A 22664-nucleotide genomic window follows, 5' to 3' on the forward strand; every position below is an offset into this window, starting at 1 on the left:
TGTGCGCCTGTAATCCCAGCTACTTGGGAGGCTTAGGCAGGAGAATTGCTTGAACCCAGGACATAGAGGGTGCAGTGAGCCAAGATTGTGCCATTGCACTCCAGCCTGGGCAATACAGTAAGACTCCATGTAAATAAATAAATATATAAATAAATAAATAAAATAAAATGGGCAAAACACATAAATAGGAACTTCTCAAAAGAAGACATACAAGTGGCCCACAAACATATAAAAAAATGCTCAACATCACTAATCATCAGAGAAAAGCAAATGAAAATCACAATTAGATACCATCTCACACCAGTCGGAATAGCTATTATTAAAAAGCCAAAAAATAACATGCTGTTGAGGCTGCAGAGAAATGGGAACACTTATACTCTGTTGGTGAAAATGTAAATTAGTTCAGTTACTGTGGAAAGCAGTTTGGAGATTTCTTTTCTTTTTTTTTTCTTCAAGACAGAGTCTTGCTCTGTCACGCATGCTGGAGTGCAGTGGTACGATCTCGGCTCACTGCAACTTCTGCCTCCCAGGGTCAGGCAATTCTCCTGCCTCAGCCTCCAGAGTAGCTGGGATTACGGTCACCCACCACCACACCCAGCTAATTTTTGTGTTTTTAGTAGAGACAGGGTTTCACCATGTTGGCCAGGCTGGTCTCAAACTCCTGACCTAAGGTGATCTGCTCCACTCGGCCTCCCAAAGTGCTGGGATTACAGGCGTGATCCACTGTGCCCGGCCTGGAGATTTCTTAAATAACTTAAAACAGAACTACCATTTGATCCAGCAATCCCATTACTGGGTATACATCCAAAAGAAAATAAATTATCCTACCAAAAAAACACATGCATTTGTATGTTCATTGCAGCACTGTTCACAATAGCAATGACATGGAGTCAACCTCGGTGCCCATCGATGGTGGACTGGATAAAGAAAATGTACAAACACGCTATGGAATACTTCACAGCCATAAAAAGTATGAAGTCATGTCTTTTGCTGAAATATGAATGTAGCTTGAGGCTGTTATCCTAAGTGAAATAATGCAGGAACAAAAATCCAAATGCTACATGCTCTCAGTTATAAGTAGAAGCTAAATAATGAGTATTCGTGGATATAAGGATGGTAACAACAGGCCAGATGCAGTGGCTCACGCCTGTAATCCCAGCACTTTGGAAGGCTGAGATGGGTGGATCACGAGGTCAGGGGTTTGAGACCAGCCTGGCCAACATGGTGAAACTCTATCTCTTCTAAAAATACAAAAATTAGCTGGGTGTGGTGGCGGTCACCTGTAATACCAGCTACTTGGGAGGCTGAGGCAGAATCACTTGAACCTGGGAGGCAGAGGTTGCAGTGAGCCGAGATTGCGCCATTGTACTCCAGCCTGGGCAACAAGGGCGAAGCTTGGCCTCAAAAAAAAAAAACAAACAACAACAACAAAAAAAAACAAAACCTGAAAATCTAATATTTAAAATTAAGAACTCAATGTATAGATTTAACAGCAGATTGGAGATTATAGAAGATAGACTCAATAACCTGAAAAACAGAAAACCTTCAAACTGAATAATTGAAAAAAAAATTGACATCACAAAGTGTAAAAGACACGGTGAACAAGATCAAATAATCTTACATATGGGCTGGGTGCCGTGGCTCATGCCTGTAATCCCAGCACTTTGGGAGGCTGAGGCAGGTGGATCACCGGAGGTCAGGAGTTGAAGACCGGCCTGACCAACATGGTGAAACCCTATCTCTACTAAAAATACAAAAATTAGCCGGGCGTGGTGGTGGGCGCTTGTAATTCTGGCTACTCGATAATAATACTATTATAATAGTATTATCTACCTCAGTAGATAATACTGCTGAGGCAGGATTATCGCTTGAACCCGGGAGGCAGAGGCAGAGGTTGCAGTGAGACGAGATTGCGCCACTGCACTCCAGCTTGAGCAAAAAGAGTGAAACTCTGTCTCAATAATAATAATAATAATCTTACATATGTAATTGGTGTCTCGGAGAACAGGCATAGAGAATGCAGCAAAAACCATATCTGAAGAGATAATGATTGAGAATTTCTCAAAACTGATGCAAGACATCTACCCACAAATCAGAGAAACTCAATGATATCCAAGACAGATAAATACAAAGAAAACAAAGATAGGGCACAAAATAAATGGCTAAAAATCACTAACAGGCTGGGTGCGGTGGCTCACGCCTGTAATCCCAGCACTTTGGGGGGCTGAGGCGGGCAGATCACGAGGTCAGGAGATCGAGATTATCCTGGCTAACTTGGTGAAACCCGGTCTCTACTAAAGAAATACAAAAAAAATTAGCCAAGCGTGGTGGTGGACGCCTGTAGTCCCAGCTACTCAGGAGGCTGAGGCAGGAGAATGGCGTGAACCCGGGAGGCAGAGCTTGCAGTGAGCCGAGATGGCGCCACTGCACTGCAGCCTGGGCGACAGAGCGACACTCCTCTAAAAAAAAAAAAAAAATCACTGACAAAGAGAAACTGTTAAAAAGAAGTGAGAGGGCCTGGTGTGGTGGTTCACGCCTGTAATTCGAGCACTGTGGGAGGCCCAGGTGGGAGGATCACTTGAGCTCAGGGGTTCAAGACCAGCCTGGGCAACATAGGGAGATGTCATCGCTACAAAAATAATGATAGTAATAGTAATAAAAAATTAGCCGGGCGTGGTGCAGGAGCCTGTGGTCGCAGGTACCCTGGAAGATGAGGTGGGAGGATCGCTTGAGCCCAGGAGGCAGAGGTTACAGCGAGCCTAGGGTGTGCCACGGCACTCCGGCTTGGGCGAGACAGCAAGACCCTGTTTGGAAAAAAAAAAAAAAGAAAAGAAAAAAGAAAAAAAAATCAACAGTAATTGCAGCCATTGCTTAGAACTAAGACTAAACAAAGCTTTTGTTTGGAAAGGAGTACTTTTTCATTAACATTGTTTAGAATTTTCTGACACATGATGATAATTAAAAGCAAACCATCCTGCAGTTGGCTTCGGTATTGTTTTTATCTTCTCCACCATCAATGCATATCCTTACTGCCTACACAGGCTCTCAGCAACGCACTGTTGGTTTTCCATTGCAGTCACCTCCACTTTATTCTTCCAGATCGAGTATGTTCAAAACTGAACTCATCTTCCGCCATAAATCTGCTATTATTATGTTTTTGCCTGTCAGGACATCGGCTTATAATTTTGGAAAGCATTCACAGTTGGGGCGGGTAAGACATAGATAAAGAGGCCAATCACAATACCAGGGGTAAGATCAATAGGAAAACCAGAGAGCGGACGCCTGGGCCAGGCCTCACAACGTCCAGAGCTGGAATGGGTCTTTTGCTTTCGGCGCAGGGGTGACGGGATCAGCGGAGGGTAGGGGTGTACACTAGCTGCGGTCTGATTTAGCCCTTTTAGGTTAAAAGCTGGAGAAGGGGCTGAAGTCTCAAACGCGCTTAGCAGCTCCTGAACGCGGTTCCCATCCCAGCGCGTTCTGAGGGAGGCCGGGGCTAAGGACGCGGTGACGGGCGGGGGCGGGGCGGCCCCGGGTCGGGAGGCGGGGCGGGAGCGCCGGAAGCGGGCGGTGCCAGGCCCAGCCTCGCAGGCGGAAGGGCGCGGAGGAGGTGACGCGATAGGCCAGCGCCGGCGTCGCGGCAGCCGCTTCAGAGGAAGCTCGGCGGCTGTGGCCGCGGCGAACAGGCCGGACGCCTCGTCGCTGGCGGGGCTTCCCTTGGAGCTGACGAAGGCGGGGTCCGCGGTCCAGGCTGCTGCCGCGACGGGGCCGGCGGCGGGGCAGCTGCCAGGAACGAGGGTAGCAGGTAAGCGGGGACGCGGGCAGACGAGTGACGGACTCAGCGATCGCCTGGCGGGGCTGGCTGGGGCCATTCCCGCGCCGGTGCGCCACCTCAGCGCCCGGTCCGGAGGCCTCGAGCCGCCCTCCCCCGCCCGAGCTGGAGGCCGCCGTCCGTCTCGGCCACAGCCTCCCTTTCCGGGGGAGGCGAGCGAGCTCGTCCCGAGGGGCCGCTGCCCTGCGCTCTCGCTCCAGCCGGGCTGTGCGTCGCAGGCACCGGGAAGCTGGCGCCCCCCAGCTCCTCCTGAAGCCGGGAAAGCTCTGAGAGGAGGAGCCGCTGTCACAGGCCTCCAGCTCCGGCCGCCGTGGAAGTCCGGGGTTTTTATTTGCTTAGACCGCTCTGCCTCCTTCCGGCCTTCGTTTCTTTCCTCGCGCTCCCCGGGACCCTTTTCCAGAGAGCCCGGTTGGGCATGAGCGCGGTGGGAGACGTCTTTTCCCTTCGGTCTGCTCTGAGCGGTATCAGCCTCCGCTCTACGCCCTGTGGCCACTCTGTCGGGGTGGAGGGATGCGGAGAGGATGTGGGAGTTTTGGACTTAGAGCGAGAATAGCCGAGGTGAAATCCTACCCTGCTCTCTGGTAGTGTTTTTCATCTCATGCTAGATAGACATTTCGACCTTTTTCACCGCAGGTAAAGTGGGACTTTCTTCTACCAATGTAAATTATAATGTTTGGAGAATTAAATGAAGAAAGCAGACGTTAGTTATGAAATGTTTTGAGAATCTGGTTAAATTTAATTTAAGAATATCCAGGACACTTCATGATAGGTTCCTACTTATGTTTTTTTTTTGCATTTTGCCCGGAATAACTAAGCTTGGTATGGAAAAGGTTGCCTAGAGATGCCAGGCGCTCGTGTGGTCAGAGCCTAACTGCAGTCTCTGTTTTGGGTGGGCAGCATCAGGAAGAAACCAGACTCTCTCCTAGCCATCCACATGTCTCACGCTTATTGATGGCATATTATTGGTATATGAGGGATGGCTTATATCAGTTTTGATCTTTACTCAAGATAGCTTTTTCCCAGTGCATCTTTTCTAGGAGAAAAGCTTGGTATGTAGAGGAGGGTGCTGGGGAGGGGGGCTTCATTTACACCTGGGCTCACAATTTTTTTTTGGAGGGGGGACAGGGTCTCACTCTGACACCCAGCCTGGAGTGCAGTGGCGCGATCTTTTCAGCTCACTGCAACCTCCTCCTCCCAGGTTCAAGCGATTCTCCTGCCTCAGCCTCCAGAGTAGCTGGGATTACAGGTGCCCGCCATCGCGCCCGGCTAATTTTTGTATTTTTAGTAGACATGGGGTTTCACCATGTTGGCCAGGCTGGTCTCGACCTCCTGACCTCAAGTGATCTACCTGCTTCCGCCTCTCAAAAGTGCTGGGATCAGCCGGGCGCGGTGGTTGACGCCTGTAATCCCAGCACTTTGGGAGGCCGAGGCGGGCAGATCACCTGAGGTCGGGAGTTCGAGATCAGCCTAACCAACATGGTGAAACCCCATCTCTACTAAAAATACAAAATTAGCCAGGCGTGGTGGCGCATGCCTGTAATCCCAGCTACTCGGAAGGCTGAGGCAGGAGACTAGCTTGAACCCGGGAGGCGAGGTTGTGGTGAGCTGAGATAGTGCCATTACACTCCAGCCTGGGCAACAAGAGCAAAACTCCGTCTCAAAAAAAAAAAAAAAAAAAAAAAAAGGTGCTGGGATTACAGGAGTGAGTCACTGCGCCTGGGCTATATTACTTTCTAAATCAGCCTTTTTTTTTTTTTTTGGTAGGCCATTATGTGAATCCTTCAAAAATCATAGAAAAATTGAAATTTAACAATATTTTGCTTTTATTCTAGCTTGTCATAAACCCAGTGCTCTATACACAGGCCTGCCTTTCTGCCTCCTTCATCCTGGCATGCATGGCCATTTACTTTGTGTTATTAGCCAGCTTCCTATGGAGCTCAGTTTGAGAACGGGGTTCTGTGCTTCTCTAGTTGCCAAACATCTGATTGAAGTAGATCACCTTGGCATTTGCGATATTAAGCATGTCTTTGCGAATTTTTAGTTCCTTTTTCTTTTCTTGGTTAGATTGTACTCTGTCACTGATTTAAAGAATTTGGTAGACGCTCAGAAAGGGTCAACTGGTAAGGTGGTCACAGTGCTTTACATGTATTTTTCTTACCTATTATGGTGAAACCCTTGTGACTTTTTTTGGGCGTGGGTAATATTTTCAAAATTAAGGTAAATAGGCCATCAGGCTGCGTTGAACTTTCTCTTTTAGGGAAATATATTCATTCTCCAATTATTCTTTGGTAGCCTTCTTATTGCTTTAGCAATTCCTACTCTATTATTAGTAGAGCCGGAAATGGACCCTACATCACAGATTCTCCAAATATACTAAATTATTTTTTCTCTAAAATGATCATGTTTATAGCATGTTGATTTTCTTTTTTTTTCTTTTGAGACAGAGTTTCACTCTTGTGCAGGCTGGAGGGCAACAGCTTGATCTCTGCTCACTGCAACTTCCGCCTCCCGGGTTCAAGTGATTGTCCTGTCTCAGCCTCCCAAGTAGCTGGGATTACAAGCGCCCACCACCACGCCCGGCTAATTTTTGTATTTTTAGTAGAGATGGGGTTTCACCATGTTGGCCAGGCTGGTCTTGAACTCCTGACCTCAAGTGATCTCTCCGTCTCAGCCTCCCAAAGCGCGGGGATTACAGGTGTGAGCCACTGTATCCGGTCAGCAGCATGTTGATTTTCTACAACCAGATGACAAAGGATATCCTAAAGTCAGTGATTTAAAAAGTCATGTTGGCTTGGTGCGGTGGCTCATGCCTGTAATCCCAGCACTTTGGGAGGCCGAGGCGGGTGGATCACGAGTCAGGAGTTAGAGAACAGCCTGGCCAACATGGTGAAACTCCGTCTGTACTGAAAATACAAAAAAATTAGCTGGGCATGGTGGCGGGCGCCTATAATCCCAGCTACTCGGGAGGCTGAGGCAGGAGAATCGTTTGAACCCATGAGGTAGAGGTTGCAGTGAGCCGAGGTTGCACCATTGCATTCCAGCTTTGGCAACAGGGTGAGACTCTGTCTCAGAAAAAAAAACAAAAAACAAGTGATGGTAACACATAGGTTGTCTAATACATTCAGAGTCTAGAGAGACCTGGTATGTATCTGAGAAACCAAATAGCTGAATCTCTAAAATTTTATTTTTGTGTCTGGAATACCTTAATTCTGAAGTTTTAGTTGTTGTTGAATTTCACATTCTGACAGGAGACAAGTAGAGGTACATGTGAAGGGTTAGTATGAACCCAGGGTTACAGTTTCAATCTAAACTGATACTGCAGAGTTAACATTGAAACAAAGCAGCTCTAGGGAGCTGGCAAAAATTGAAGGTTAGAAGTCACTTGCTGGCTCTTGAGGCAGTCTTCTGACTCTGAAACTACTTGAGACTAAAATTTTCAAGAATTTTTTAACTTAATTTTGTAAAGATATAATTTACGGCCTGGTGCAGTGGCTCATGCCTGTAATCCCAGCACTTAGGGAGGCCGAGGTGGGTTGATCACCTGAGGTCAGGAGTTTGAGACCAGCCAACATAATGAGACCCCATCTCTACTAAAAATACAAAAATTAGCTGGGCATGGTGGCACACACTCGTACTCCTAGCTACTCAGGAGGCTGAGGCAGGAGAATCTCTTGAACCTGGGAGGTGGAGGTTGCAGTGAGTCGAGATCAGGTCACTGCACTCCAGCCTGGGTGACACAGTGAGACTCCATCTCCAAAAAAAAAAAAAAAAATACAGTCAAATACATAGACCTTAAGGGTTTTTATTTTTTAAAGCATATGTACACAAAATGGAAGACAGAAAAATAGCAAAACATTTTGGAAGCTGGAATGCAGATTGATTTAAGCAGTCTGCCCGCCTTGGCCTCCCAAAGTGCTGGGATTACAGGCGTGAGCCACCACACTTGGCCGATATAACTTTTTCGTAGTGAAGCTTCAGTTAACCTGTACGGTGGCTGCGCTGTGAACTTTCACCCAAATATTGGGCTCCTTAAGGGGCTGTTTAGGCTTGGGGCTGTCCTAGGGTCGGTGAGTATCTAGTAAGAGTGTAAACCTTCTATTTCCCTTGTGTGCGTGTTTTATCTTTGAAGGAATGTTGATATTTGGTCAGTATGAACATACAGCAGCATGGCTGGGAATACAGGGGCAGAAATGTAAAGGAAACGCATGTGAAGTTTGCTTTTAATTACTGGACCGTTGTATTCAAGAACCTTCAATGGCAGTATCTTGTCTTTGCTCCAGGGTCAGATTCCCTAAAGAAGAAGGGATCTCCTACTTGGAGAGTACAAATTGGGCTTCCAGCAGTCTGGCTTCTATACTTAGGGAAAGGCTGGAGGTCTTAGTATTCGTTATGTAAACACTCATTCTTGTTCATTTAACTCAACTATTTTCAGTAAGATGACCTCATTCTCAACTGGACCAGTTGAAAAGCTTTCCAGTCCAGGAATTCTTTGTTTTTACATAGGATTGTTTTAAGCTGCTACGTGTGGTTAGTGGCTACCATATTGGATAGCGGAGCTGCACTATCCAGTGTGGTAGCCACTAGCCACATGTAGCAGCCTAAATCTAAATAATTAAAATTAAAGGTTTAGTTCCTCACTTGCACTAGACATGTTTCAAGTGCTCAATGGCCACATTTGCCCAGAGGCTACCGTATTGGGCAGAGCAGATATAGAATATTTCTGTCATTGCAGAAATTTTATTGGGCTGTGCTGTTCTAGTCTAGAGAAGAAGACTCCAGGTGTCTGCAAGGATGGGTAGGGGACAGTTGGCTGGTTTTGTGGCATGTGGGAGGATATTTAAATCATTTGACCAATCCTTTTATTTTTAGCGTCATATTCATATTCACATCCCTCTGTAGAACAATTCCTGACCTGTTTTGAGGTATTGTTCTTTAGATTGCTTTCCTCCCTGCAAGCTTGAGATTTAACTTTTTTTTTTTTTTTTTTTTTGGAGACGGAGTCTCGCTCTGTTGCCCAGGCTGGAGTGCAGTGGCGTGAACTTGGCTCACTGCAACCTCCACCTCCCAGGTTCAAGCAATTGTCCTGCCTCAGCCTCCCAAGTAGCTGAGATTACAGGCACATGCCACCATGCCCGGCTAATGTTTGTATTTTAGTAGAGACGGGGTTTCTCCATGTTGGTCAGGCTGGTCTTGAACTCCTGACCTCAGGTGATTCGCCTGCCTCGGCCTCCCAAAGTGCTGGGATTACAGGCGTGAGCCACCGCGCCCGGCCCCAGCCGAGACTTAACGTCTTTAGATCTTTAAGTCAATCCACATTCCAACTTTCAAAATGTTTTTGCTGTTGTTCGGTGTTCCATTTTGTGTACATATGCTTTAAAAAAACAAAAGCCCTTCAGGTTTATGTATTTCACTGTAGGTAAATTATATCTTTAAAAAATTAAGTTAAAAAATTCTTGGCAGCCGGGCGTGGTGGCTCACGCCTGTAATCCCAGCACTTTGGGAGTCTGAGGCGGGTGGATTGCGAGGTCAGGAGATCAAGACCATCCTGGCTAACACGGTGAAACCCCATCTCTACTAAAAATACAAAAAATTAGCCGGGTGTGGTGGCGGGCGCCTGAAGTCCCAGCTACTCGGGAGGCTGAGGCAGGAGAATCCTTGAACCTGGGAGGCGGAGCTTGCAGTGAGCTGAGATGTGCCACTGCACTATAGCCTGGGTGACATAGTGAGACTCCATCTCAAAAAACAAAACAAAACAAAAAACATAATTTAATTTTAATTAGTTATTTAGGAATGGGTCTTGCTGTGTTGCCCAGGTTGGTCTCAAATTCTTGACCTCAAAGGATCCTTCTGCCTCAGCCTCTTGAGTAGCTGGGATTATAGACATGCACCATGGTGCCTGGCTGGTTTTTTCTTTTAAAAAATTAATTTATTGGCTCACACCTGTAATCTTAGGTACTCAGAAGGCTAAGTCAGGAGGATTACTTGATTGAGCCTGGGAGTTTGGGGCTTCAGTGAGCCATGGCTGACAGAATGAGACCTTTTTTTTTTAAAAAAAAAAAAAGATAAAGGACAATTTTTTTATTCTTAATGAAGTTTTAAGAGGGAATGATGGTAAAATGTGTCTGCTTAATCTGCAGTCTTTATCCAGAAGTAAAGTGCTTCATCAGAATTTAAACATGTATAAGAATCTCCACTAAAAAAATGTTTGAGCTTTACCCAGGCTTCTTGAACAATTTTTATATATCGCCTTTTTTGTTCCACCTTGGTTTTTGTCCTTTCCATTGTACTAAAATTTCTCCTGCAAATGTCAAGAGAATTCAGTGAACACTTTTAATCCTTATCTTGCTCGACTTCTCAACAACCTTTAACTGACCATTTCCCTCTTTTTAGAAACCTGTTCTAGCTTTGCTGATACCACCTTTACCTGATTTTTGACCTTATCTCCCTGGTCATTTTTTTTCACTTTCCTTTGCTTAGTCTTTCTTTATTTCTTAAATCCTGGAGTTCCAGCTGGGCACACCTGTAATCCCAGCACTTTGGGAGGCTGAGTTGGGTGGATCACCTGAGGTCAGAGGTCGAGACCAGCCTGACCAACATGGAGAAACCCGGTCTCTACTAAAAATACAAAATTGGCTGGGCGTGGTGGCGCATGCCTGTAATCCCAGCCACTTGGGAGCCTGAGGCAGGAGAATTGCTTGAACCCGGGAGGCGGAGGTTGCAGTGAGCTGAGATCGTGCCATTGTACTCCAGCCTGGGCAACAAGAGTGGGAAAAAAAAAAAAATTCCTAGAGTTCCTTGGGCTATTGCCCTAGGGTACATTCTCTCATTCTCTTCTACCTTTTACAAATTCTTTCTAGGTGATCTTATCATTTTCTATAGCTTTGGTTACTCTAAGCTGAAAACTGGAATTCACATGATGTCCTCTTTTCAGAATTCTTGAACTGTATATCTAGCTGTATATATCCACTTGGACTTCTAATGGTCATCTCAAATTGAACATGTGAAAGACTAAAGGCATAGTCAGTATAACCTTCCCCTAATCGATCTCCGTCTGTGTTTCGTATCAGTGATACCACTATCTACCTAGTAGCTGATACTGGAACATTTACCCCCAACAGATAGGCTTTTGACAAATGACAAGTCCTGTCATTTCTGTGTCCTGAAGATTGATTCACTTTGCTACATCCTCCCAGTTTTTCTCTTAATCCAAGAAGCTGTCCCACTGTATCTGCATTGATTTACCTGTAACAGATTCCTAATGGGTTTCTTCTGCTGTGGCCTTCTCCTTGCCATTCTGCACATTGCAGGTAGAATGATTTTTTTCAAGAATATGAATCAGATCTTTGTCTTTCAGTGGCTTCACACCAACCTTATGTTAAGTGTCAGCATCGTGAATTTAGCTCTTCTGTTCCTCATCTACCCCTTCCGTGCCTCTAAGTGTTACTGAAGTTCTTTCCATTCCTTGAAATACTGAATTCCCTCTCTTTCCTAGGAACTCTTGCTCATCATTTGTCTCAGCTGAAAAATAATTTCTTCAGAGAAAAAATAATTTCTTCAGAGAGGTGTTTCCTGACCCTTTTGCCAGATATTTCCATTGTACCCTGAATTTGACTTTTTTTAATTTTTATTTTATTTTTTTATTTTTTTGAGACAGGGTCTTGCTCTGTCACCCAAACTAGAGTACAGTGGTGTGATCATAGCTCAGTGAAACTTTGACCTCCCATGCCCAAGCGATCCTTCCACCTCACCCTCCTGAGTAGATGGGAACACAGGCATGTACCACCACTTTTGGCTATTTTTTTTGGAGACAGGATCTCCCTGTGTTGCCCAGGCAGGTGATCTTGAAATCCTGGGCTCAAGCGATACTCCACCTCTGCCTCCCAAAGTGCTGGGATTACAGGCATAAGCCACCATGCCTGGCCAATATTGGCAGTATACCATAGTAAGCGTTTATTTGAATTACATGTTTATTTCATATTAAGAAGTTTGTTTATATAGAAGTGATTTTTCCACTGATAAAGTAAAATATGATATTCTAAACTAGAGGTTCCCAAACTTTCTCTGTTTACACCCTCCTTAATATATTTTTTACATGTCCCTAAGCTTAACAGTTTGATTTATTAAATAATTAGGTTCAGACAGCTTAAGAAGTATTTATGGGCCAGGCGCTGTGGCTCACGCCTGTAATTCCAGCAGGCGGATCATGAGGTCAAGAGATCGAGACTATCCTTGCTAACACAGTGAAACCCCTTCTCTACTAAAAATACAAAAAAAATTAGCCGGGCCTGGTGGCGGGCGTCTATAGTCCCAGCTAGGCTGAGGCAGGAGAATGGCGTGAACCCGGGAGGCGGAGCTTGCAGTGAGCCGAGATTGCGCCACTGCACTCCAGCCTGGGCGACAGAGCGAGATTCTGTCTCAAAAAAAAAAAAAAAAAGAAAAGAAAAAAGTATTTATGTTCTTTCAACCTAATTGACATCTAAGAAATACACAAATTGGAAGACAAAGTCAGATAGATGTGATGGCTCGTGTCTATAATCTCAGCTCTTTCGGTGGGCGGATCACTTGAGTCCAGGAGTTTAAGACCAGTCTGGGCAACATAGACCGTATTTCTACAAAAAAAAAAAAAAAAATTGCCAGGCGTGGTGGTGTGTGTCTGCTGTAGTCCCAGCTACTCAGGAGGCTGAGGGAGGATTGCTGGAGCCTGGAAAGTTGGGGCGAGCTCTGATTGCACCAGTGCACTCCAGCCTGGGTGACAGAGTGAGACACTCTCAAAAAAATAAGAAAGAGAAAGACAAAATTACATTTTGATTTCATTCTTAAATAACCACAGTTATTTACCGTATATACTTGTTGGGCACTACAAAACCCAAACCGTGGAATCATATTGGACTCTGCCACCCACATTGCTTACTTTTTAATTAAAACAAATTTGCTTTTGGCTGGGCATGGAGGCTCATGCCTATAATCCCAGCACTTTGGGAGGTTGAGGTGGGAAGATCGTTTGAGGCCAGGAGTTCAAGACCAGTCTGGGCAACATAGTGAGACCCCATCTTACTACCTTATTTTATTTTTTTTAATTTTTAATTTTAAATATTTATTTAGAGATGGAGTCTCACTGTGTCACCCAGGCTGGAGTGCAGTGGCATGATCTTGGCTCACTGCAGCCTCCACTCCCTGGTTGAAGCGATTCTTCTGCCTCAGGCTCCTGAGAAGCTGGCCATTACTGGTGCCCACCACCACACACGGCTAAGTTTTGTATTTTTAGTAAGAGACAGGGTTTCACCATGTTGGCCAGGCTGGTCTGGAACTCCTGACCTCAGGTGATCTGCCCTGCTCGACCTTCAAAAGTGCTGTGCTTACAGGTGTGCGCCACCGTGCCCGGCCACTATCTCGCTATTTTAAAAAATAAATAACATTTGTTTACATCTTTGTTTTCTCCACTCATTTTTTGCTCTAAATTGATATTTGCACAGTATTTTTTTTTAAATCACAGCAACCAATAGATACTCAGCTTTGCAAAGATTATGATATCATCAAAAGGAACATAGTGTGATCTATTTTGAAGCTGAACTGTCTTGAACTAGTAGTTTATAAGGTGTTTGACAAGTATAGAAGATTACTTTTTCCCTGTAATTTAGAATTTCCTGTTGTGCTCTCGTGAGTTCTCTACAGAATCCCAGGTTGCCTTGGGCACAGTTTGGGAACTGTGATCCTAAACTTTTGATAGTTTGGTGTATATGCTTTTAGACATTTTTCTCCAAACATTCAAGCATATGCATATATTTTTCCTTTTAACAAAAGTGGGCTGGTACATATTGGTCAGCAACTTCATTTTTTCCATTCAGCAGTGTATCATGGTAAAGGTGGTGGATTGAATATATACGTTTAATTTTATGCCAGCCTGAAAATTTCATTAAAACAATGGAGGACTTAAAAACCCTCTAGATAACAAAGAACAGGAACAATGAGAATAACAACAATATCGTGAAAGCTGGAAAGCAGAAAAGACTAATGGCAACTAATTCGCCAACTTGAGAAAGCTGTATCCTAAACCAACAGTGGAGAGAGCCTTCAAATAGTCATGTTATGTTACCAAACCCTTTAAAAGTCTCAAGATTAGCTGTGTCCTGTACTGTGGAGGTGGAGGTGGGACAGAAAATATGAGGAGTTGTTTGAAAGTCTGTTTCAGAAAAGTTTCCACTCCTGACCTCCCTTTCTTCTCCCCGTAGACATAAATAGGGTAACTAGAGACTTACTATCTGGAGTAGAAAACGATTATTATCTGGACTGAGGGATACCATGCATAGTTAAGGATAAGGTACTGTGCCTTATAGTGGAAATCTATATGCTGAAGGTAGAAACCTCTAGCTTTTTTTCCTGACATAGTTCTCAGAATCTTGCCCCTTTCTGCTGTTTCCCATTCACCAAAAGCAGCCTCTTTCAAGTCTTTGAGGTATTGTTTTGGTATAAACAACATGTCTTTAAATTACCTTTTTATTTTTATATTTTATGAGATGGAGTCTTCCTGTCACCCAGGCCAGAGTACGGTGGCATGATCTCCGCTCACTGCAATCTCCGTCTCTCGGGTTCAAGTGACTCTCCTGCCTCAGCCTCCCGAGTAGCTGAGATTATAGGTGCCCGCCACCATGTCTGGCTCATTTTTGTATTTTTAGTAGAGACAAGGTTTCACCACGTTGGCCAGGCTGGTCTCGAACTCCTGACCTCAAATGATCCGCTTGCCTCGGCCTCCCAAAGTGCTGGTAGTACAGGCATGAGCCACCATGCCCGGCCTAAATTACCTTTTTATAATGTAACTTGTGATTACTTAGTTTATGCTTTATCTGTTGACTTGAAGATGAAGATTGTTCTTTTTTACATCTGTTCCCCACGTCTGTGTACTTGCATACTTCTTATCTTCCCTCCAAGATACCACTGTATCTTCCCACTATAGGGATGCTATAAGGGGCAGTATTACCATTCCAGGTGAGATAATTCTTCATTGTTGTGTTTATTGCATGATACTTAGTATCCTTGGACCCCAGCGGTAAATGTCAATACCAACCTGAATGTATTACAGCAACCAAGAATTTCCCACACATTTCCAAATGTTAGGTTGAGGTGGTATGGAGTATCTGGTTGAGAAGCACTGGGTTAGATCAGTGTTTAGCTTATTACTATTATGTAAATGGTAGTCATAGTTAAGCCATGTAGTATACCAAGGTTTACAACCACTGTTTTCCCTTTCTTGTACATTTTTCTGTTGTCCCTGAAATTAATTGTCTTTATCTTTTGTTTAGTGTTCTCTGTACCTACTACTAACTGCAAACTCTCTTCTGGTTGTCTGTTTCTCCTTTATTTGCTTTCATACACTTTAGAAATTCTATCAGGATCACATTCTTGGAGCCTTTTGACTGACTTTTGACCGCTCCCTTCTGGATTGGTGGCCCTCCAGGCTTAAGGCACATTGTCATTCTGCATCTATTTTTACTGTTATCTTTAGTATTCTTTTTGCCTGACTCTTGTTTTTGGATCTCATTTCCTGCATCCTGTGTATTCTTGACTTACTCCCATATTTGCCAGAGTACCTTCTCCTGTGACTCTCTGAGAAGGATGCATGGGAGGTAAATATTTTGATAACTTACATCTCTGTAAACCTTTTTTGTTAGTTGTTATGTTAGTTTCAGTCTGTCATTTTGTGGTACTTTCTGGGAGATTGCTCAAAATTTTAAATGTTTTAATGTTTTACTTTTAACTTCGAAATAACTTCAAATTTACCGAAAAAAATTGCAAAATATTACAGTTTTTCTATATGCTTCACCTAGCTTTGCTCCGAAGTTTTGTTTCAGTTTTTTTTGTTTGTTTGAAGACATGGTCTCACTCTGTTGCCCAGGCTGGAGTGCAGTGGCGTGATCTCGGCTCACTGCAACTTCTGCCTCCTGGGTTCAAGTGATTCTCCTGCCTCAGCCTCCCGAGTAGCTGGGATTACAGGTTCATGCCACCGTGCCTGGCTAATTTTTGTATTTTTGGTAGAGACAGGGTTTCTCTATGTTGGCCAGGCTGGTCTTGAACTCCTGACCTTAGTTGATCCACCCACCTCAGCCTCCCAAAGTGCTGGGATCACAGGCATGAGCCACTGTGCCCAACCTTACTTCAGTTTTTTTAAGGAGACAGAGTCTTGCTATGTTGCCCAGGCTGATCTTGAACTCTTGGGCTCAAACAATCCTTCTGTCTCCGCCTCCCACGTAGGTGGGTCTACAGGTGTGCACCACTGTACCTGGCCTCTCCAATGTTATAGAACTGCAGCACATTGTCAAGGCCAGGCAATTAACGTTGAGAGAATACTGCTAACTGATCTGCACACCTTATTCCAATTTTGTCAGTTGTCACATGACTTTTCTTTTTCTGAACTGAGACTCAATCCAGGATTATACCTTGTTTAATTGTCGTCTCCTTAATCTCAGTCTTTCATTCTAGGACAGTCTGTCTTTGTCTTTCAGGACTTTGACTGATGTGATTGAAGAGTATTAGCCAGTTATTCTTTTTTTTTTTTTTTTTTTTGAGACGGAGTTTTGCTTTTGTACCCCAGGCTGGAGTGCAATGGCGTGATTTCGGCTCACTGTCACCTGCGCCTCCTGGGTTCAAGCAATTCTCCTGCCTCAGTCTCCCGAGTAGCTGGATTACAGGTATGTGCCACCGTGCCCGGCTAATGTTTGTATTTTTAGTAGAGACAGGGTTTCACCGTGTTGGCCAGACTGGTCTCGAACTCGCGACCTCAGGTGATCTGCCCACCTCGGCCTCCCAAAGTGTTGGGATTACAGGCATGAGCCACCGCGCCTGGCCCTTTTCCTTTTTTATTTTTTTTTTGAGATAGGACATCACTCTGTTGCCCAGGCTAGAGTGCCATGGTGCAATCTCAGCTCACTGCAACCACAAACTCCTGGGCTCAGTTGATCCACCCACCTCAGCCTTCTGAGTAGCTGGGACCACAGGCACATGCCACCACACTTGGCTAATTTTTATATTTCTTTGTAGAGATGGGGTTTCATCATGTTGCCCAGAGTGGTCTCAAACTCCTGGGCTCAAACAGTCCACCCATCTCAGCCTCCCAAAGTGTGAGATTGTAGGCTGAGCCACAGTTCCCTGCTGGTTGTTTTTAATATTTTGCTATTATAAACAATGCTGCAATGAATAGCCTTGTACATGTGTATATTTGTATTATTGTAGGCATGTCTTCAGGTAAATTCCTTAAAGTGGGGTTGCTGGATTAAAAGGTAAATACTTTTGTAGTTATTAAATGTTACCAGATTACCCTCCAAAAAGATTGGATCAATTTGTAGTCCTCCTAACAAAGTGTGGAAAGGCCCTTCTTCCCCACCAAGAGAATGTGTTATAATTTTTGCCAATTGTCTTATAAATGAATTTGGACATCTTTCTTAAGCTTAAGGAACATTTAAAAAGCTTTATTTGTAAATTGTCTCCTTATGTATTTTTCCTATTTTCCATTAGGCTTTTTTTCAGTTATCTCTTAATTTAAGAGGTCTATATATTAGGGATATTAGGCCTTTATGATACATGTTGCAAATATTTTTTTCTAATTTATCAGCTGTCTTTTCATTTTGTTCATTTATTATTTTTTTTAACTTCCAAGCTTAATTGAGTTTTTAATTTCTGCTATTATTTTTAATTTTCAAGACCCCTTTCTTGTTTTTGGCCATTCCTTTAGAAAAAGAATAACACCCTGTTCTTTTTTTTCAATGGATGTAATATTTGCTTTTGCTTCTTTGAGATAGTATTAGTTTTTTTTTTTTTTTTTTGAGACAGTCTTGGTCTGTCACCCAGGCTGGAGTGCAGTGGCTCAATTTTGGCTCACTGCAGCCTTCAGAACTCCCAGGTTCAAGCAATTCTCGTGTCTCAGCCTCCCGAGTAGCTGGGATTACAAGCACGTGCCACCACACCTGGCTAATTTTTTTGTATTTTTAGTAGGGTTGGGGTTTTACCTTGTTGGCCAGGTTGGTCTCGAACTCCTGACCTCAAGTGATCCGCCTGTCTTGGCCTCCCAAAGTGCTGGGATTATAGGTGTGAGCCACCACACTCAGCCCCCTCTTTTTTTTTAATTGTGGTAAAATATACATAACATAAAATTTACTATTTTGACCATTTTTAGGTGTACAGTTCATTGGCATTAAAGTACATTCGCATTGCTGTGCAACCATCACCACCATTCATCTCCAGGAACCTTTTTATCTTCCCAAACTGAAATTCTGTACCCATTAAGCAATAACTCCCTTTTCTCCCCCTCCCTGTTGGTTTATAAAAGTTGACTTTATATAGTTTTTGCTTTTATCTGTTTGTTTTGGTCTGTTTTTATCCCTAGACATCTGGTGATTCTTGGTCATCCTTTATTTTTTATTTTATTTTTTTGAGACAGAGTCTTGCTCTGTCGCCCAGGCTAGACTGCAGTGGTGCGATCTCAGTTCACCACAACCTCTGCCTCCCAGGTTCAGGCAATTCCTGTGCCTCAGCCTCCCAAGTAGCTGGGATTACAGGCATGCACCACCATGCCCAGCTAATTTTTGTATTTTTAATAGAGATGGGGTTTTGCCATGTTGGCCAGGCTGGTCTCGAACTCCTGACCTCAAGTGCTCTGCCCACCTTGGCCTCCCGAAGTATTGGGATTACAGGCGTGAGCCACCATGCCCAGCCCGTCTAGTTGTTTTTAATAATGACCACTAAGAAACTGCTTGGGAACTCTTAACACATGGTGGAATGTGTCAACTTTGGGGTACACTGTGGGCCATTTTGTGGGGTAATATCTGTATCTTTATGGATTTTTTTTTTTTTTTTGGTGGACTAGTTATAGTCTCCAGAAAAGAATCTTCAGTCTGCTTGTATGGGTGAGACAGACTGCTAGCATTCTGGGAGATGAGTGGCAAAGTGTGTTCGGAGTCTCATATGCAGTATATAATTCCATCTTCAAATTATGCCTGGAGTCCCTGTGTCTGCAGACTTTCCATTTTACTCTTTTTTGCATTTTACATTTCACTATTTTATCTAAAGGATAAACTTCCAATCTTGGGTGGGGGAGGGTCACTTACCTGCCATGTGGAGTTAAGTAGGGATCTGGAGTCTAACTGCTTCTTAAACTTTAGGCCACCCTATTGAGTCATTGTTCAGACTTATTTTGTTGTGACATCCCCAAATATCACTATCTGTTGGTTTTTTCTCCGTGAATGATCTGTTTTCCCCCAGGGACTAGTCGCCTTCTTGTGGGTATAGAGCTTCTTGCCAGTCTTATGGAAGCTGAGTGGGGAAGGGCCTGGAGGGGAATTCACGGTGTAAACTCATTTATCCTCCTGGTATACCCCTGTGCTCAGCTGTACATGATATACTGGACTATCCTGGGTCATCCTCCTCAGAAAGTGAAACTTTCATCATCTGCCACGGTAGGAGATGGTATCTAGGAGTTTCACTGCTTCTTATTCAGACTTTGAGCCAGCGTTTCCTTTTCAACACCACCCATACTCCTGACTTTCATAGGTATATGTTGCCTCTGCTTCTGAGCCTTTCTGCTTTCTGAGGTCCTATAGCTGCTGCTTTTTTTTTTGGAGACAGAGCTTCACTCTTGTCTCCCAGGCTGGAGTGCAGTGGCGCAATCTTGGCTCACTGCAACCTCCACCTCCCAGGTTCAAGCAATTCTTCTGCCTCAGCCTCCCAAGTAGCTGAGATTACAGGCACTCATCATCATGCCTGGCTAATTATTTTTGTATTTTTAGTAGAGACGGGGTTTCACCATGTTGGCCAGTCTGGTCTCGAACTCCTGACCTCAGGTAATCCATCTGCTTCGGCTTCCCAAAGTGCTGGGATTACAGGCATGGGCCACCACACCTGGCCCTGTGTTCTCATGTGTAAAATGAAGGACGGGGAAGGGAGAGGAGACCAAATACCACTTAAGACTGATTCCATATTGACTTAATTATAATTTGCTCATAGCAAAATAATTAGTTTCATACAGCAGATTTTTAAAAGAGCAGGTACTTTTGTTCTGTATAGTCATGCACCAGTAGATATTTAGTAAATACATGTGAGGTCAGCATCTCAAGAGGGAAGCCACGCTCCTCTGTTACCAGTCAAAGACTCTGGGTAGCCATGCAAGGACAGGACTTTATCAAATGCTCTCACCCAGTGATGGTTCTGGATCTCAAGTGAATATAAGAAAAAAGAACCAACACAAGCATACACACATATACTGCAGGAACACACTCTAGAAGTAGATGGAAATGAATGACAGTCAAATCCAAACAATAACTTCCCCTCAGGATTTAATAAAATCTAATATTAGCGAAGGCTCTTTAGTCTAGAAAGAAAGGCACCAGTCACTGCAGGTAGAGTGGAAGAAAGACTATGAAACAGAAGCCAATATTCTAATTTCAGCTTGACAACAGTTTACTCAGAAGTGCTGTATTACCTTTCTGTGTATAAGTTTTCTCTGGGGAAAAAAATGGAGGACTGAACACATGTTTACCTCAGTTCCCTCTCCAAATCACACTGAGGTTACAGAAATCAGTTTTTTTTTGTTTTTTTTTTTTTTGAGATGGAGTTTCGCTCTTGTCACCCAGGCTGGAGTGCAGTGGCGCGATTTTTGGCTCAGTGCAACCTCCACCTCCCAGGTTCAAGCAATTCTCCTGCCTCAGCCTCACCAGGAGCTGGTGTCAGGTGTGAGGATTACAAGCAATCCTTGCACCTTGGCTTCCCAGAGTGCTGGGATTGCAGGTGTGAGCCACTGCGCCTGGTCGAAAATGATTCTTAAGTTTATTTTTCTCAGAGGCAGGTGTACAGCAAATGGCTTTTTGTTAGACTACTCATGTCCTCCCTCCTCTCCAGTTTTCATTGTGATGAAAACCTTGGTCAGATAAGATTTCATTGTGTCCAATAGTCTAAATTGAAGTATATGTACTCTTTTTTTTTCTCAATTTTCTGCCTTAGTTACTGTGAATATGTCTTCATGACCTTATTTTTAGATAGAAATATAACTTACTTCTCTTCTTTACAGCTGCATCCAGATCTCATTATGCATCAGAAAAATGAAAAAACAGAGGAAAATTCTATGGAGGAAAGGAATCCACTTAGCCTTTTCTGAGAAATGGAATACTGGGTTTGGAGGCTTTAAGAAGTTTTATTTTCACCAACACTTGTGCATTCTGAAAGCTAAGCTGGGAAGGCCAGTTACTTGGAATAGACAGTTGAGACATTTCCAGGGTAGAAAGAAAGCTCTTCAAATCCAGAAAACGTGGATCAAGGATGAACCCCTTTGTGCTAAGACCAAGTTCAATGTGGCTACTCAAAATGTTAGTACTTTGTCCTCTAAAGTGAAAAGAAAGGACGCTAAACACTTCATTTCCTCCTCAAAGACTCTCCTGAGACTCCAAGCAGAGAAGCTGTTGTCATCAGCAAAGAATTCTGACCATGAATACTGCAGAGAGAAAAATCTCTTGAAGGCAGTTACTGACTTTCCATCAAATAGTGCTTTAGGTCAGGCCAATGGTCACAGACCTAGGACAGACCCACAACCTTCTGACTTTCCCATGAAGTTCAATGGGGAGAGCCAAAGTCCAGGTGAGAGTGGCACGATTGTGGTCACCTTGAACAACCATAAGAGAAAGGGCTTTTGTTACGGCTGCTGCCAAGGGCCGGAGCACCACAGGAATGGGGGACCCTTGATTCCAAAAAAGTTCCAACTTAACCAACATAGAAGGATAAAATTATCTCCTCTTATGATGTATGAGAAATTATCCATGATTAGATTTCGGTACAGGATTCTCAGATCCCAGCACTTCAGAACCAAAAGCAAGGTTTGCAAGCTAAGAAAAGCCCAGCGAAGCTGGGTACAGAAAGTCACTGGGGACCATCAAGAGACCCGTAGGGAGAACGGTGAGGGTGGCAGTTGCAGCCCATTTCCTTCCCCAGAACCTAAAGACCCTTCTTGTCGGCATCAGCCGTACTTTCCAGATATGGACAGCAGTGCTGTGGTGAAGGGGACGAACTCTCATGTGCCTGATTGCCACACTAAAGGAAGCTCTTTCTTGGGCAAGGAGCTTAGTTTAGACGAAGCATTCCCTGACCAACAGAATGGCAGTGCCACAAACGCCTGGGACCAGTCATCCTGTTCTTCTCCTAAGTGGGAGTGTACAGAGCTGATTCATGACATCCCCTTACCAGAACATCGTTCTAATACCATGTTCATTTCAGAAACTGAAAGAGAAATTATGACTCTGGGTCAGGAAAATCAGACAAGTTCTGTCAGTGATGACAGAGTAAAACTGTCAGTGTCTGGAGCAGATACATCTGTGAGTAGCGTAGATGGGCCTGTGTCCCAAAAGGCTGTTCAAAATGAGAACTCATACCAGATGGAGGAGGATGGATCTCTCAAGCAGAGCATTCTTAGTTCTGAGTTGCTGGACCACCCTTACTGTAAAAGTCCACTGGAGGCTCCCTTGGTGTGCAGTGGACTCAAACTAGAAAATCAAGTAGGAGGTGGAAAGAACAGTCAGAAAGCCTCTCCAGTGGATGATGAACAGCTGTCAGTCTGTCTTTCTGGTATGCACTTTTCCTTTATTCTCCCTCAAACTCCAAGCTCACATTTGCTGTGCATTATCCTTGCTAATAAGAGTCCTATTTTTTTCTCCCACTCATGAATATTTCTTTAAACCAGTTAGTCTGCTTGAAGCCTTTTATATTGCTGCATTATGTAGATGTTCCATCATTTAATCCTTGTAGACACTTGCATTGATTCCATTTTTTTCATAAGCTAATAGTGCGATGAAATTATGTCTTTACA

General features: G+C 44.0%; 1 protein-coding gene across 6 annotated transcripts in view, besides 2 other annotated features; it reads left to right on the forward strand.

The window, feature by feature from the left end:
* Positions 3426–4005: a silencer, noted in NCBI's record as "silent region_15073". NCBI's record gives its function as "represses an Ori minimal core promoter by ATAC-STARR-seq in GM12878 lymphoblastoid cells {active_cell/tissue: GM12878}" and the evidence as "EXISTENCE:reporter gene assay evidence [ECO:0000049][PMID:35858748]".
* Positions 3649–22664, forward strand: part of SENP5 (SUMO specific peptidase 5) — a 66795-nt gene continuing 47779 nt past the window's right edge. For all 6 annotated transcript variants that reach the window (NM_152699.5, XM_005269310.4, NM_001308045.2 and 3 more), the window contains exons 1-2: positions 3649–3802; positions 20880–22423. In NM_152699.5, the coding sequence (NP_689912.2) occupies positions 20911–22423 (1513 nt within the window). In that variant the 5' untranslated portion in view covers positions 3649–3802; positions 20880–20910. The remainder of the gene's footprint in view (positions 3803–20879; positions 22424–22664) is intronic.
* Positions 4657–5158: an enhancer, noted in NCBI's record as "H3K4me1 hESC enhancer chr3:196595799-196596300 (GRCh37/hg19 assembly coordinates)". NCBI's record gives its function as "activates a minimal SCP1, AML or CMV promoter by ChIP-STARR-seq in primed H9 embryonic stem cells {active_cell/tissue: H9 hESC(primed)}" and the evidence as "EXISTENCE:reporter gene assay evidence [ECO:0000049][PMID:30033119]".

The sequence above is a fragment of the Homo sapiens genome, chromosome 3 (genome assembly GCF_000001405.40).
Source record: "Homo sapiens chromosome 3, GRCh38.p14 Primary Assembly".
NCBI classification, from domain to species: domain Eukaryota; kingdom Metazoa; phylum Chordata; class Mammalia; order Primates; family Hominidae; genus Homo; species Homo sapiens.